Source organism: Homo sapiens, chromosome 5, assembly GCF_000001405.40.
Source record: "Homo sapiens chromosome 5, GRCh38.p14 Primary Assembly".
NCBI lineage: Eukaryota > Metazoa > Chordata > Mammalia > Primates > Hominidae > Homo > Homo sapiens.
The window spans coordinates 181,418,431-181,434,634 of NC_000005.10; the positions used below are offsets into that span (position 1 = coordinate 181,418,431).

The window sequence follows — 16,204 nt, forward strand, 5'->3', positions numbered from 1 at the left end:
CTGCTGACCCCAAGTTTGTAGCCAAAACTTAACCAATCACAAATCAGAAAATCTTTGGGTTTTTGTTTGTTTGTTTGAGACAGAGTCTCACTCTGCTGCCCAGGCTGGAGTGCAGTGGCACGATCTCAGCTCACTGAACCCTCTGCCTCCCACGTTCAAACGATTCTCATGCTTCAGCCTCCTGAGTAGCTGGGATTACAGGTGCACACCACCATGCCCAGATAATTTTTGTATTTTTAGTAGAGATGGTGTTTTGCCATGTTTGTCTGGCTGGTCTCAAACTCCTGGCCTCAAGTTATCCACCCACCTTGGCCTCCCAAAGCGCTGAGATTACAGGTGTGAACCACTGCACCTGGTCTCAAATCAGAAAATCTTTGAATTCATCTAATGGTCACCTATCCTGTGGGCCCTCACTTTGAGATATTTTGCCTTTTTTGGCCAAACCAATATGTAGCCTCCATGTATTATATGACCTTGCCTGCAACCTCTGCCTTCCCACCTTTAAAAACCCTTACACATAAGCCATCAGGGAGATTAGGCCTTAAGGATTAGCTGCCTGATACTCCTTGCTTGCTGCCTGCAATAAATTCCTCAACTTCTGTCTCAGCAATGCCGATATCAGTGCTTGACTTTGATAGGCTGGGTGGGTGGACCCAAATTTGGTTTGGTGACCCTTTGAGCTTAGATTCAAAATTCTAGTTTTGTCACTCTGCAGTTTTGTGATCTTGAGCAAGTTACTTAACCTCTCTGAGCCTTGTTTGTCATGTGTAATGAAAAGAGCTATACTTACCTTGTGAGGTAGTCCTCAGGATTCAATGAGATAATAAGTACTCACTAAACAAAACTCGTTATTACAAAAGAATCACTTTGTCTCTGAAGTGGGCAATTCAACCCATTTCTAGGAGATTTTAAACATGATTTTAGATATTTGGTGTGATTTTGTGAATGGGTTTATCGTTAATAGCTTTCATGCTCCAGAATTTTCTTGAATAATAGGTTTTTGCAAAGTGCATTCCATGGAATACTCATTTGGGTGACGTTAATAGACATCACTCAAAAGCTGGGTGAATATTACAATGTTTACTTCATCTGTAACAAGCTGAGTAGCTACAGTACATATCTAAGAGGGGGCTCTAATTCTCAATATTTTCCAAATTTATTAGATCACAGACTTTTCTTTTAGTGAAGTGCTTAATGAAACTTAAGTTCTGTGAAAAGTACTTTGAGAAATATTGCTTTAAAAAGAAAAAGATTGAGCCCTGTATCAGGGGAAATATCTAATATTATATTAAACAAAAAAGTCCCACTGAAGAAAATCATCTTATTGTTCATAGACCTTAGTTTAGGTATTGGGGCCAAAGGATGGATGACCATTTCAAACGATCCAGGCTAAGCCAGGAGGAGAGCTCAAAGTCTGATCTGGTGAGTAAGTTGTGAAGGGAATGTGATGAAAAAGTACACTTCTATTGCAAAGAAATCATGAGCTAGGTTTATACGCTATGCTGTGAATGGCCAATAGATTATAAATTCAACAGTCTCCCTGTCACAGCTATGGTAATGACGACTGTTTAGGCCTTAGGGGAGCTTTAGGGAGAGGCAATTTCATACTTAAGTCACACTGACTTAAAAAGTGAAATATTTGAAATCATTGTTGAAATCACGTGGAGGTCGTCAGCAAGCGGATGAGGTTGGAATGCCTATCATTTTCCTCAAGCTCATGTCCTCTCATTTTCTTATTTGAAAATCTATTTGGCTCAGAAAGGACACCTAGGGTTAGTCAAAAATCACCTCCTGATGTTCCTTTTAAAGGAAGCTTCCAAGTTATTTGAATAGCTTCCAAGTTATTCATCGAGAAACAAAGCAAATTCAAAGATTATGTCCGTAAGCACAAACTGGATTTTAAGAAATCCTGGCTGCATAAACAATTGTCTTATAGAAAAGAATTTCTGTTCCTCTTTTCCCTCCCCTTGTCAATCCTATTTGTTTCAGACCTGGGTTCAAACACTAGCTGTAGAGGCTATAAGCTATTGGAAGCACATTTGAGCCTGAAATAAACTGAACCTCTTTTGCCTTGGTTTTCTCACTTGTAAATGGGGATTTTTGTGTCTACCTCAAAGGTACGTTGCAAGGATCGAGGGACAGAGCGTGCAGCAAGTGGCCAATGAATAGAAGTCTGGTTTTCTGAGCATCCTTGCAGCTGCAGGCTTCAGTCTACCAGAGAATGTGAGGTGTTATTCTTCTAGGGCAGTGGTTAGAAAAGAAAATGAAAGTAGCAGTACTCTTTTCCTAATGCAACCATAGATGGATGATCAGAATTTGTAATCCATAAGGTAGAAGCTGCTGTGCCTGAAGAAATAGAAAGTGGGCAGAGGTGGAGGGGCAAGGTAGGGAGTGGAGTGGAAGGTAGGGAGAGTTTGATCCTAGCCTGCACTGCTCCTCAGAGGTACTTTAGCCTCTTTGGAACAGTATTAGAAAATCATGGTTCTATCAACTCATGTCTGAAAATCAATTGCTATTTCAGAGCAGGAGGTGACCAATCTTGGAAATAAGGAAGGGAGAGAGGCAGCCAAGCCAGCAGCTCCTAGGATTAGTCACTGCCTGGAGCCAGCTCTTGGAAGTTCCCCAGGAGCTGTCCAGTCTTATGTCATGTCTAGTCAGCAGAGTCCCAAAGAAGCTTGTCATTCTCTAGGCATTTGTGCTTACATTCTGATGGGCCTAATAGCAGGGAGATGACATGGAGCCCAGGCAGAACAGCTGAGATTTCTACTGGTCATGACCTCCATCTTCTCCTTCACACCTTTCCTACCTTTCTTTTTCCATGCATTCAACAGACATTTATTACCCAATAAGTGCCAGGTAGTAAGCGAGGACCTGGGGAGAGCAGATGAGTAAGACACCGTCTCTGTCTCTCAGGAGCTCTCAGATTCTTAGGGACACATGTACATCCTAATAAACACAGTGCATCTCATGAATGTGTAAGTTTAAGTTATTGATATAGGCACACACAGACAGAGGGACTTCGTTCCCTGCAGGTTCTGTAGTATTTCGTGCCCACTCCCCTTTCTTCCCTTGCTGCTCACATCATCCTGCCTTCAAGGAATCTGGGGGGATGGTAGACTGAAAGTGGCCCTTTCTGCATAATTCTTCTTGAAAATAAACATTTGCTCTCTTCTTAGAGGCTGACTATACTGAGAGCTACCACTCCTTGGCTGCTTATTAGCCATTGGGTTATTGCTAAGCCCTTTACATATGTTATATCATTTAATTGTATTGAATCTTCACCATAACACTTCAATGGAAATATTTTTCCAAATAAGGAAAGGTGAGACTCAAAGTAGTTGTATTAGTCTGCATTGCTATGAAGAACTACCTGAAACCGGGTAACTTATAAAGAAAAGAGGTGGGCCGGGCGCGGTGGCTCATGCCTATAATCCTAGCACTTTGGGAGGCCGAGGTGGGCAGACCACGAGGTCGGGAGTTAGAGACCAGCCTGGCCAACATGGTGAAACCCCGTGTCTACTACACACACACACACACACACACACACACACACACACACCTGTAATCCTAGCTACTCAGGAGGCTGAGGCAGGAGGATTGCTTGAACCCTGGAGGTGGAGGTTGCATTGAGCCAAGATCACACCACTGCACTCCAGCCTGAGTGACAGAGCGAGACTCCATCTCAAAAAAAAAAAAAAAAAAAAAAAAAAAAAGAAAGATGTTTAATTGACTCTATGTTCCACAGGCCATACAGGAAGCATGGCTTGGGAGCATGGCTGTACTCCAGCCTAGGCGACAGAGTGAGACTCTGTCTCAAAAAAAAAAAAAAAATCCCCATATCCCCATTCACTGTCCTTTTCTCTAGAAAATACCCCATTTCATATAACTGTCTAAACAACGGTTTAAGGTCTACACAAGATTGTGAAGTGAACCTGCAGGATTAGGAGGGTAAGGATTCCCACCTAGGTGGGCTCACTTGCTCTGCCATACCTGGGTAGGATCCCAGCCTGCTTCTGTGATTGTCAGGAGGCACCAAAAAGGCTACCCTAGGTTTTCTGTCATTCGGCCCAAACATTTCCTCTGCTGGGCAAATGTGGAAAAGAGGCATTAAGCTGGTGCTCCCACAACTGAAAGGAAAGCAATTCTCTTTCTGTTGTGGTTCCTTCCTCTTTGGACTCTTTTCTTCCATTCCAGCCTATCCCCTTCTTGGAAAAGCTGTTCTACCAATAGCAGGGAAGAAACAGCGCCGTGTACCTGATACGCTACCCTGGGCACAGGCGATCAGACCAGGGATAGACACCTGAACTGATCTGGGCAGATGCCCTCTTCTGGCCATTGAGAATTGACAGCATCAGACATCTAGAACATAATAGTATTTTTAAATTCTGCAGGGACATCCACCAGGCTGAGGGGGACCAATTTTGTTTTAAAAATGTATCCTGAACTTGGCCAGGCATGGTGGCTCATGCCTGTAATCACAGCACTTTGAGAGGCCAAGGTGGGCGGATCACTTGAGGTCAGGAGTTTGAGACCAGCCTGGCCAACGTGGTAAAATCCTGTGTCTATTAAAAAATACAAAAATTAGCCAGGCGTGGTGGTGTGTACCTGTAATCCCAGCTGCTGGGAAGGCTGAGGCAGGAGAATTGCTTGGACCAGGGAGGTGGAGGTTGCAGTGAGGTGAGATCATGCCACTGCATTCCAGCCTGGCCAACAAGAGCAAAATTCCATCTCAAAAAAAAAAGTATCCCAAACTTGGAAGTAAAAATAGGATGACTGCACGTCTTTCTAATGCCATACTGGAAGGTTGCCTAACAAACCACCAAAGCTTTTTTTAACTCTCTAAGGGAAGGTACTTTTGTTTGACTTACTATTTACTATTGATTAGGGCCCAGACTCTGCCAAGTTACATGTTAATTTTTGTCTGGTAGAGATACAAATGATTTTTGTCCTGTAAAAAGATTTTATTGCTCCACAGGACATTAATGAGTGAGGTTTCCAAATTAGCAAACTTATGTCAGCATGCTGTTTCTGATGGTCTATCCAAATCTTTCTCCTTCCAATTCTCTTTTCAAACAGCTTTACCATCCTCTGGTTCTTTCTTTTGTGAAGTAAACAGATCTTTATACACACTCCCTATAGACTTATATAAGAATCATGTTTTCACTTTTTGAAAATGATGCTTTGACAATTCCACTGAACAGGCTGGGGAAAATTTTATGAGAATTGTTGGATCCTGCTCAGAAGCAAAAAGATAAAACCAGGCTATCCTCTATCATGGCTGATCTGGGGTTCATTCCCAGAAATGAGGGTCTTGGATCAGGGTCAAATATGTGGGTGGGGTGGGCTCAATTACTGAGATACCCATCTCATGAGGAAGGATGGGACCCATATTATGGGAAACAAAACAGGAAGAATGAGAGTGAAAAGATTAATCCTTTCACTAAATTGGGAAAACAGGAGAAAGTGTTGTTGGATAAAGAAGGAACTTTAGCACAATGAGCAGAGACAAGACGGTAAATGTTCCTTATCCAGTAATCTCTGATGAAAGGCCAGTGCTCACATCATTAGTAATGTCCAGAAATGATAATATCAGTAGTAGCAATACTCACAATGTAAATAAGTAGCTCTCATGTTTTGATTGCCAATAGTGCTAGCAACCTTACATGTATCACTCTCTACCCCAGCCCTGTTAATTGGTACTATGATGAAGAAAGAGACTCAAAGAAAATAAATGACTCACTCGCGTATTTTTACACAGCTAGAATTGCTACAGAAAGGATTAAAGCCAAGTCTATCCAAATCCACTGTCTATGTCCCTCCCTCCCTCCCTCCCTCCCTCCCTTCCTTCCTTCCTTCCTTCCTTGCTCCTTCCTTCCCTCCCTTTCTGCCTCCCTCCCTTTCTGCCTCCCTCCCTCCCTATCTCAAACATCTATTGAGTGTCTACCATGTGCCAGGCACTGTGTCAGGCTCTTGGGATACAGCAATAAGCCAAGTCCTTGCTTTCAGGGAGTTTACATTCCAGTGAGAGGGTCACAGAAACAAATGTATCTCTATGGCAGCAAGTGCTATGAAGAAAATCAGCTTCATTTTTATTGTTTCATGCCCATCATGCAGGTTTCCCACAGTCCATCATCCCCACTCCACCCCCCACCCAATGTAGTGCTTTCCTCTGTCCTGGAGAATCGGAAAGACTTCACAGCAACATCTGCAGTCCCTTTGTTTCAGTGACTTTGGCACAGAGAAGTGGACATGGTGGCAGACAAAGCTGCTGGAAGCTGTCAGGCTACTGGCAGCCAAAAGCTTAATCACACATTCCAAAGGCAGTGTGTGTGTGATGTTGCATCTCTGGCCCTGGAAGGGAGATAGAGGTCACCTTCTTGGGAGTCAGAGTTGGCCCCTCAGCTCCCAGGGGTTCAGCTGAGCAGCTTCAGAGGGCTGACTGCAGAGACCAGGAAGGGGCCATTCACTCTGATGGGAATTGGGAATCATTGATGCTCGAGCAACAGCTGAGTTAAAATTCATGCTAAGAAATCAGCATTCACATGTGTACATATTTAAGTCAGGATCTCAGTGAAGAGGGCATGACAGCAGTGAAAAGAGGTGCCAGACCTGAAGTAGGCTACCTTATGGTTGCTGCTTCACCTGTTGCTCTACACACACACACACACACACACACACGATTCCAGAAGATAGTGGGACAGTAGCAATTTGAAGGCTCTGCCAGAAAAGCATTTGCTTAAAGTGTTGGGAATTTTTTGTTGGATTGTTGTTTCATTCATAGGGCTTCTAAATTTCACTTTTGCATTTTAACCATTTCAAGGAATTCCCCCTGATTTTGAGTGTGAATGGGTACAAAAGACCAGGGGTTGTTAACCAAAAGCCTGGAACATTCAGGTGAACGGCTGTTCTGCAGGGAAGGAGGGAAACAGCAGGGTGAGATGGATGGTCAACCTTCAAAGGCCTTACACAGTCCCGGCCAGGATAATCTTCGCCTCTCCCTTCTGCTGGGGAAAAGTCTGGATTGCTAAGACCAGGGTCTCTATAGTGGCATCTCCAACACTCAGGCCGAGCTTCATGGCTGGGTTCCTGTTTTTTCATTTGCTCATGCCCCTCAGTGGTATCATCTGACTCAGCTCCTTTCCCTCCTGTTGGGCCAGTACTTACAGTGGGTCTCCTGATGAAGCTGAGGTCATGGGTTCATGAGCCCAATTATCACCATGCTGACCGCACCACTAACCTGGCTCCGTGTAGTTGCAAACTTGGCTGCACATTGGAATTCCTAGGGAGAGTTTTAAACATCCCAACGACCAGGCTGCAATGAAATAAGACCGATGAAATCAGGATCTCAGGGGTGGAATGGGACTGGTAATTTACAGAATCTCTCCAGCTGATTCCATATTCAGACAAGTTAGAGCACCAATGCCCTCAGTCCTGAGAGTGAGGGCTGGTCTCATGAATCCATTCACACAGATGGAAGTCCATCCTCACAGCGGTCAGGCCTCACACAACATCGGGCATGTTGGTAGGCATATGCCTAAGTTTCTGTGCAATGAATGCATGCCTTACTGGTGATGCATCAATAGCAAGGCATTCAGGGGAGAGAGTACCCTGCCTCAGTGCCTAGCATGAGACATACATCCAGGACCATGTTTTTATTCCCATCTTATGGATGAGAAAACTGAGGTTCAGAAAGGGTAGGCAAAATCCCCTAGCTCACCTGGCTGGAAGGGGGCAGAACTTCCCTGTACGTGCTGAGAACACCACTGTTCGAGCAGAGGGGAAACCTCTGCAAATTTCACTCTGTGTTCAGTGGGTGACTTGCCAAAATGACTTGCCAAAGCCCTTTAGGGCCAATAAATTAGAGTGTTTGCATCAAATTTCCATGCACAAGAGCCAACTCAAAACCTTAGATCCAATTCCATTGGTTCCCATAGCTCTGAAGTGGAGAGATGCTAGTAATAAATCCTACAGGCTGATGGCAGGACTTTGATATATAATATTAACTCTGATCTTGGTGGTGGTCTGACTCAAGACAGAGGGAATATTAAAAGCAGTAGTAATCCTTCTAAAAGTTCCATGCGCTTCTGCCCAGATATCCAGGGTTTCTGGCTGAATTAGCCTGCAGAAGCAATTGTGCAGATTAGGTGATGTTGAACCACGAGAAAGTGTCTTCCCACTTAGCAAATCAAGGGTCCATGGGATGGAGAGAAAGGAGGGAATAGAGTTTGTCACTTGGGCTGTACTGACCCCAGTGGTGATGTCTTCCCTTTGATGGGTGGTGTTGGGACAGCAAGGCAGTCATCATTTAGCCCACTAGTGCTAAGGCGGAAGGCATCCGCAGTACATGGTCTGGCATCCCCAGGCAAAGACAAGAGGATGGGCCCTGCAGAGTGTTTTGGGTTAGAAACAAGCTGAGTGAACTGAGTGTTTCTTCAGGGAGCGCACTAAAGATGAGCCGACAAATCCACGACAGTGGGGAGTGAGGTGAGGCAGGGACACAAATCCACAGCTGACTCACCCAGCACATTCCCACCTCCTCAGCATAGAAAACCACAGGGACAAACTGACCAGAAGGCTATTCATCCATGGGTCTATCCCGTGCCTTGATCAGTCTTCCTAAATCCCACCTTTGCCAAAGTCACTCCAGTCTGTGAATTTTCCATGGCTTCCTGATGCATATGGAAAGACGTTCAGACTCCCAATCTGAGGTCCAATGCTCTCCAGAATTCCATCTTTCCCTACCTTCCTGGAATCATTTCCCATTGACTTGCCATCTACCTGGACAAGCTGGAATGGCTGCTTTGGCTGTCTTCTGAAAATGCCCTGAGGTGTCTCTGCCCCAGGCCTGTCTCCTGTGCCCCCAGAGCTGCCCAGGCCCCTGCTTCCTACAGAGACCAGCTCACAGTCTTCTTGTCAGTGGTCATCTAACAGTGGTCTTGTAAAAGCAGAGCAAGTTCCAATCTTATTTATAGCATTCAGCAGTTTTTTTTTTTTTTAGAGCTGGTGTCTTGCTCTGTTGCCCAAGTTTGAGTGCAATGGCTCAATCACAGCTTCACTGCAGCCTTGAACTCCTGGGCCCTAGTGATCCTCCTCTTTCAGCCTCCTGAGTAGCTGGGACCACAGGTATGCACCACCATGCCCACCTAAACACAGTCTACCTTTATGTGTGTGTGTCCATCCATCACCAGATGCTCACGGAAGGTAGGGCAGAAACATTTTGAAAAATAATTTTTACCTTTGAAGAGTAATCTTAATGATAACCTAGCAGGTGCTCAGATACATCGGGTCGATTCACTTCCTATGGCTGTGTAACAAATTACCACAAACTTGGTGATTTAGAGCAATGCCCATTTATTATCTCAGGGTTTCTATAGGTCAGAAGTTTGGGTGTTGCATGGCTGGATTGTCTGTTTAGGATCTCACAGGGTTGAGATCGGGGTAGCCAGGGTTGCTTCTCATCTGGGGCTCCAAGTCCTCTTTGCAAGCTCACTGGTTGTCAGTAGAATTCAGTTCCTGTGGTTGTAGGACTGAGGTCCCCATATTCTTCTTGCTGTTTGTCAGTCTGGGGTGCTCCCAGCAACTCAAGGCCACTCTCAGGTTGTTGACACAGGGTGCCAACATCTATCTTCAAAACCAGTAGGAGGATTTCTCTTGCACTGAATCTCTTTTGCATCTCTGACATTCTCAGTCTCTGACCTCTAGATCCAGATTTAAAGGGTTCACTTGATTCTGTCAGACCCACTCAGGACAATTATTTTGTTGTGCGTCCCTTTTTCTGGGAAGTGGGTCTACCACTTCTATCACGTTCTTAAAAGGGTCTGGGAATGTTCACCCATCACAGACATCCACACCAGGCCAGTTAAGTCAGAACTGCTGGAGATTCCACATTCTCCTGGGCAGCCTGGGTGGAGAACCACCTATGTGGAAGGAACACTGGGCTCCAAAGATAAGGGGCCTTGCATTTTATTTCATTACCAGTGTCTATTGGCTCTGAGACCTTACAGAAATCACTCAACTTCTCAGGGCCTCATTTGCAAACACGGATGATAATAGTAAGCTCCATCTCTCACGGTTGTTAGGAGGATTAAAAGTGTATAAAGATGCTCTGCAAGCTCTGAAGTATTAGCCAACCGTCTAGTCAGTGTGAAGAGACACTGAAAAGTGAGGTGGGACAGAGCATTTTAAGTGAAAAAGAAGGGAGAAGCTTATCTTTATCAAAGTTAAATATTAGATACTGAGTACTTTGTAAAGTCTGTTGCTGCTGGGGATCAGGCAAATTGTTATAACCTTCCTGGAAGGCAATTTCCCATAATTATCAGCAGTTTACAGAATATCCAAGCCATTTGACCCTAAGATAATGTTTCTAGGGATTTCTCTTAAGGATTTAATCAAGGACACATACACAGATTATAGCAGTTCAAAATTGGAACCCATCTATTTAACAATAAGGGATTGTTTAATTACACATGAAATATTATTTAAACTTGAACATTATATTGCCTTTAAATATTTGACATGGAAAGAAGCTTAAAACTCAGTCCTATTTCCTTATCAATGTTCTATCAACAAGGGGCAGGAGGTGTCACCTCCTTGGGAATCAGAGTTGGCCCCTCAGGTAGGTGTTTGGAGCTTCCTGGTAGGGGCTGGGGACAAAGTGTGGATGGGGCACCTGCTGGACCTGTGGCAAGATCATCAGGGATTGCTATTGGTCTCAGCAAGGGAGTGAGGCTGACCAGTTCTCAGCTGCATTTCAGAGAAGGATGAAATGCCCTAATCAGAAGTCAGCTCCCCTCATGACCCTGGAGGGAATTCTGCCCACTCACAGACTCTTTCTTATTCTGGGCCTCTGCTGTTATCTGGGTCTAGCTCCCTGTCACAGTCAGTTTGGGGACTGATCCTCCAGGAAAGTCCTGGGACCTCTCGGCAGGCTGAATGCTTCTCCTTTGTGACTCCCCTGCCATGGCGGTTGTGCCCCTTCTTACCTTCTACAGACACGACTTTTCATGGGCCTCTTCCTTTCTCCCCACCGGTAAATCACCACCCTTCAAAGGCAGGAACTGTCTCTATTTCATCTTAGTATCCTACGGGCCTGGCCCAGAGTAGATGCTCCAAAAAACTTGTCCTGAACTGAATGGGCGTGAAGCCGGGGCCTGTTGCACTGTGTTGTTGTGGGGTGGGGTGACTTCCAACCACACTGGGAGCCATCTCCCTCTCTCATTCCGAGGGAAGAGTCCGCAGCACAGATGGGTGCAACCCAATGTCAGGAGCTGACACTGTGATCAAAGAAAATCATTTCCATTGCTCCTGTAGACGAAAAGAGTCAAACTCAGTAAAATATTTGAAGAGATGTATTCTGAGCCAAATATGAGTGACCACGGCCCTTGCCATAGCCCTCAGGAGGTCCTGAGAACATGTGTCCAAGGTGGTCGGGGTACAGCTTGGTTTTATGCATTTTAGAAAGGCATGAGACATCGATCAAGTACATTTAAGAAATACACTGGTTTGGTCCAGAAAGGTGGGACCAAAGCAGGAGGAGAGGGGCGCTTCCAGGCTATAGGTAAATTTCAGTGAGTTTGTCTAAAGACCTGGGATCCATAGAAAGGGAATTTTCAAGTTAAGATAAAAGATGGTGGAGACCAAGGTTCTTTTGAAGTCTTATAGAGGCTGTCCTCAGAGACAATAGATGGCAAATGTTTCCTATTCAGATCTTTAAAAGGTGCTAGACTTGGCCAGGCACGGTGGCTCACGCCTGTAATCCCAGCACTTTGGGAGGCCCAGGTGGGTGTGGATCACAAGGGCAGGAGTTTGAGACCATCCTGGCCAATGTGGTGAAACCTCATTTCTACTAAAAATATAAAAATTAGCTGTGTGTGGTGGTGGGCGTCTGTAGTCCCAGCTACTCAGGAGGCTGAAGCAGGAGAATCGCTTGAACCCGGGAGGCAGAGGTTGCAGTGAGCCGAGATCATGTCACTGCACTCCAGCCTGGGCGACAGAGTGAGACTCCGTCTCAAACAAAAAAAAACAAAGTGCTAGACTTTCAGTTAATCTCTTTAGGATTGGGAGGGCCTGGAAGAAAAATATCTAGCTATGTTAATAGAGATTCTTTACAGATACAAATTTTCCCCCACAAAGGACAGCTTTGCAGGGCCATTTCAAGATATGGACAAAAAAGCCTATGTTTTGGGGTAAAATATTTTGATTTTCTTCCTTGTCTCATAATGTTATGACAGAGTCAGTTTGGAAAGTAAGTCACAATATATAGGGTTAAATAAAATCCATCTGATGAGAATTTATGGTTTGTAGGACATCACTCCCCAGACCCTTTAGATAGGGAATTTGGGTAAGATAAAAAAAAAAATCAGAGCTTAGTCTTCACTTGCAAGGGTGCCCCTGTGTTCCTCCACTCTCCATCCCCAAGCTGGGCTGGGATTTCTTGAGCCAGATGAGTTGAAGATGCTGCAAAGTTAAAATGGCCTTGCCTTCCTGTGCAGTCAGATGGAGCACCCCCTTCCCTCATCTGGGCCTGCTGAGTAGGGTCTCACTGATCCCCGCACTGTGTGTCCCTTAGACCTTTCCTGAGACCCAGCCCTTCCCCCGGTGGAAGGGAGAATTATTTGAAAAGTGTGGGTTTTGGTGTCAGACAGACTGGGACCCAGGTCTAGGCTACTGAACCAGTGAGCTGTGTGGCTTTGTGCATGCTATTTAGACACTCTGAGTTTTAATTTCCTAATTTCTAATTGCCAGACAGGTTGGTTGGGAGGAACAGCTTAGATTGACCTATGAAAGCATTTGTAGACTCGGAAGTGTTCTCATGGCACTTTGGATGAAATCGTTCCTGCTGCTTCAAACTACTGTGTGATGAGTTTCCAAAAATCATTGCCTGTGATCTGCAGGCTCGTTGTATGTCACAGATCACCAGATGTGCTTCCATTCCATGCTTGCTTCTGCAGTCCTGTTCTAAGCTCTGGCCTAATATTCTTCCCGCCCACGGAGCTCTTGCCACTGCCTCACCGCAGAGACTGGAACCCTGTCCTTTAACTCCCAGCTCAGAGTGTAGGGAAGTGTTTCTCAAAGTATTCTCTGTGTTATCTGCTTCCAAATTGCCTGGATATTGGTTAAAAACCAAACCTCTGGTTCCCCTTCCAGACTGAAGGATGAGAATTGGCTGTGGGAATGAGTGGGAATCTACGCTGTTGTGAAGTTCCCCACAGGGATCTCCTGCATCTTAAGGCTCAAAGGCCATGGACCTAGCCCCTGGATACTGGGCATAGGCATCTCAGATGCTGTCTGTTTCTTCACTTCCCTGACTGGCCTGGGCTCTGGGGTTGGGCCCTTCTCATTTCTGGATTTGTGATACTTGTCTTGTATCCCCTTTTATCATAGTGTGCTTTTGCTTACAAGTGAACAAAAACCCAATCCAAAGTGATTTAAACAAAAAGAGCACTTATTGTAAAAGTTCAGAATAAACTGCCTTCAGGCATGGCTTGATCCAGGGGCGCACACTGTGTTACCAGGAGGCAGTTTCTCTCTGCCTCCTCACTTGGCTACATTTTTCTCTCACTTGTGCATCCTGAGCCATTCACAGAGCTCAGGAGGATGAGTGTTCTGATGGAGCAGGGTACGCTGGTGGTTAGTGCCATCAAAAACAGAATGAGATAATGATATGGCTCAGATGACTGGAGGAGCACCAGGGTTCTTGGTCTAGCACACACTTGGATAAAATGACACAGACACACCTGGAGTGGTTTTAAGGAGCGAAAAGTTTAATATACAAGAAAGAAGGAAGGAAGAAGAAAACAGCTCCCCAGTACAGAGACAGAGGGAGAGGGGATTTGAACAGAGAGAAAACCCCGGTGGGGAGAAGGGATGTGGGGGGAGGGCGTGTGTGTGGTGTAATCAGCTAGTTATATGAGGAGGCTGGAGGAGGCGGTGCTGGCTTGCATAGGGCTCAGAGGATTGGTTTGACCAGGCAGGTCATTCACATAGCCTGCGAAAAAGCTGGCCCTCACAGTCTAGCCTTTTAAGAATGCAAATGCAGGGCGCCATGATGTTCTACACACGTGGGGATATGTGGGGGCGGCCATGTTGCCAGCCACCTGTTGGGGCAAGGAAGAAACCTGGAATCTCCATGTTTGGGTGGACTCAGTTTCCAGTGGCCTGCGTTTGCATATCAAAGCTTGCCAGTGGCTCTTAGAGCTGGCGCTCTCCTGTTAGACAAGAAAGGTTTCTGGATCTGCTTTAAAAGAAACAAAAACTTCCCAAGGACCTCTTTTCCTCTCTATCTGCCTAAAATAATTTCTTAATAACTCCTATAACAATAAGGGGGTGGTCCATTCCCACATGTAAATTGAGGCTTTTCCCAGAAATAGGGTGAATAGATGCTGAGTTACCCCAGTCAGCAAATGTCCATTTATCTCATTTGTGAACTCTGGACTCTGCACAGAGATTGTGGTGACACAGGCTGTCCTGTGACCCTGTGGCTGGGTCAGCTCCTGTGTCTGCGACAGGATGCCCTGAGTCCCCATGGATTCCTCAACCCCACACCCTGTCCTACTTTTAGCCAAGTCAGCCATGCCCCTCTGAGGGCTACGCTGCTTCAATAGGCCTGGCTTCCTAAGTACCTTTCATTATCACCCAGGCTCATACCCAGAAGCAAAGCAGAAATTTCTTTTGAGATCCAGGGTGGGAAATGGTCAGTTGAATTGAGTTGCAACCGAAGGTGAGGAAACGTCTTTTATGAAAACCCATTTCCCTCTGTCGGAGGTGATTTCAGTCACATTTTCCAAGCTCAGGATAATTTACCCCCTACCAGGGTGCACTGCAGAAGGTCTGGCTGGAAGGCCCCGAGCACAGGAGTTGATTGCTAGCTGCTAAGAGGCTGCGCTTTGTTCCCGAAGGAGAAAGCTGCAGGTTAAGAGAACATTCCCCACCTTGCCAGGGGTGACAAAGCAGGGGACTGCTTGAGGGCTGACACTGGAGTTAGAGATAATGAAAGGAGAGGAGGAAGAAGAAGCCAGGGCCTGGCTCAGCATCTCACCGCATTGGTGGGGAGAGGAGCTGCTCACCTTCTCGCACCTGTTGTTGGGCTGAGACAGATTTTCAGAGAGCAATGCCTCCTGGACAGAGGCTCTTCCCCACAGGGCAAATGTAATTAGATGAGAGAAAAACAAAGCTCTGAAACCCTAATTAGGTGCCAAGCCCTCAGGCTTTATACATCTAAACAGCTAAGGAACAGAGGATAAGATTCTCCAGTCGGCACTCCCTTGCCAGTCCTGGCTGAGCTAATGGTGAAGTGAGAGCTGTGCCACAGATCCCATGGTTGGCTTTTTGTTGTTGTTATTTCAGATGGAGTTTCACTCGCCACCCAGGCTGGAGTGCAGTGGTGCAATCTTGGCTCACCACAATCTCCGCCTCCTGGGTTCAAGTGATTCTCCAGCCTCAGCCTCCCGAGTAGCTGGGACTACCAGCGCCCGCCACCATGCCTGGCTAATATTTTGTGTTTTTAATAGAGACGGGGTTTCACCATGTTGACCAGGCTGGTCTTGAACTCCTGACCTCAGGTGACCTGCCCACCTCAGCCTCCCAAAGTGCTGGGATTACAGGCGTGAGCCACTGCACCTGGCCCCGTGGTTGGCTTTTACTCCTTCCATTCTGCCACCCTGAAGCTGATCCTCTGGAATTTGCTTGTTTTTGGTGTGTCCAGAAATGAAGGTCTATCAGTTCTTGAAATTGGGTTGTTTTAAGTAACTGATGTGCTGGGATGACAGTGAAGAAGACAAGATAGGGATTCCTCTTCCTAAACTTTAGGGCCTGAAGGGACTCCTCATTGACAGCAGATGGGATTTTTAATTTCACTCTGGGATGGAGGAAGTGGAGAGGTGATCCAGGCTGGATTGAAATCTCTCAAGCCTGGGAGATTTTGCCCAAAGACTTTTGACATGGGAACAGTAGAAACATTGGGAAAATTGGACTTTCAGGTCAGCATTCTGGGTATTTCCCCAGTCTTCCCAGGGTGGGATCATCTGGCCCCAGTTATGGGAATAAGACCACATAAATAGAAGATGACTTGGGAAGTCATCTTCCCAAGGTGTCAGGGAGGAGGTGGAGGACCACTGTTCTGATCAGCCTCCTTCAACCTCACAGTGGGGTTGGTCTCAGATGGTGCCCAGGAACCTGCCAGCAGCGGCACTTTGATGGCACCAAG

The 16,204-nt window shown here is 45.9% G+C and overlaps 1 long non-coding RNA gene across 2 annotated transcripts in view; it reads left to right on the forward strand.

The window, feature by feature from the left end:
* The first annotated feature begins 306 nt into the window (after positions 1-306).
* Positions 307-16,204, forward strand: part of LOC124901156 (uncharacterized) — a 44,142-nt gene continuing 28,244 nt past the window's right edge. For both annotated transcript variants that reach the window (XR_007059090.1, XR_007059091.1), the window contains exon 1: positions 307-1,422. This is a non-coding gene — a long non-coding RNA (uncharacterized LOC124901156). The remainder of the gene's footprint in view (positions 1,423-16,204) is intronic.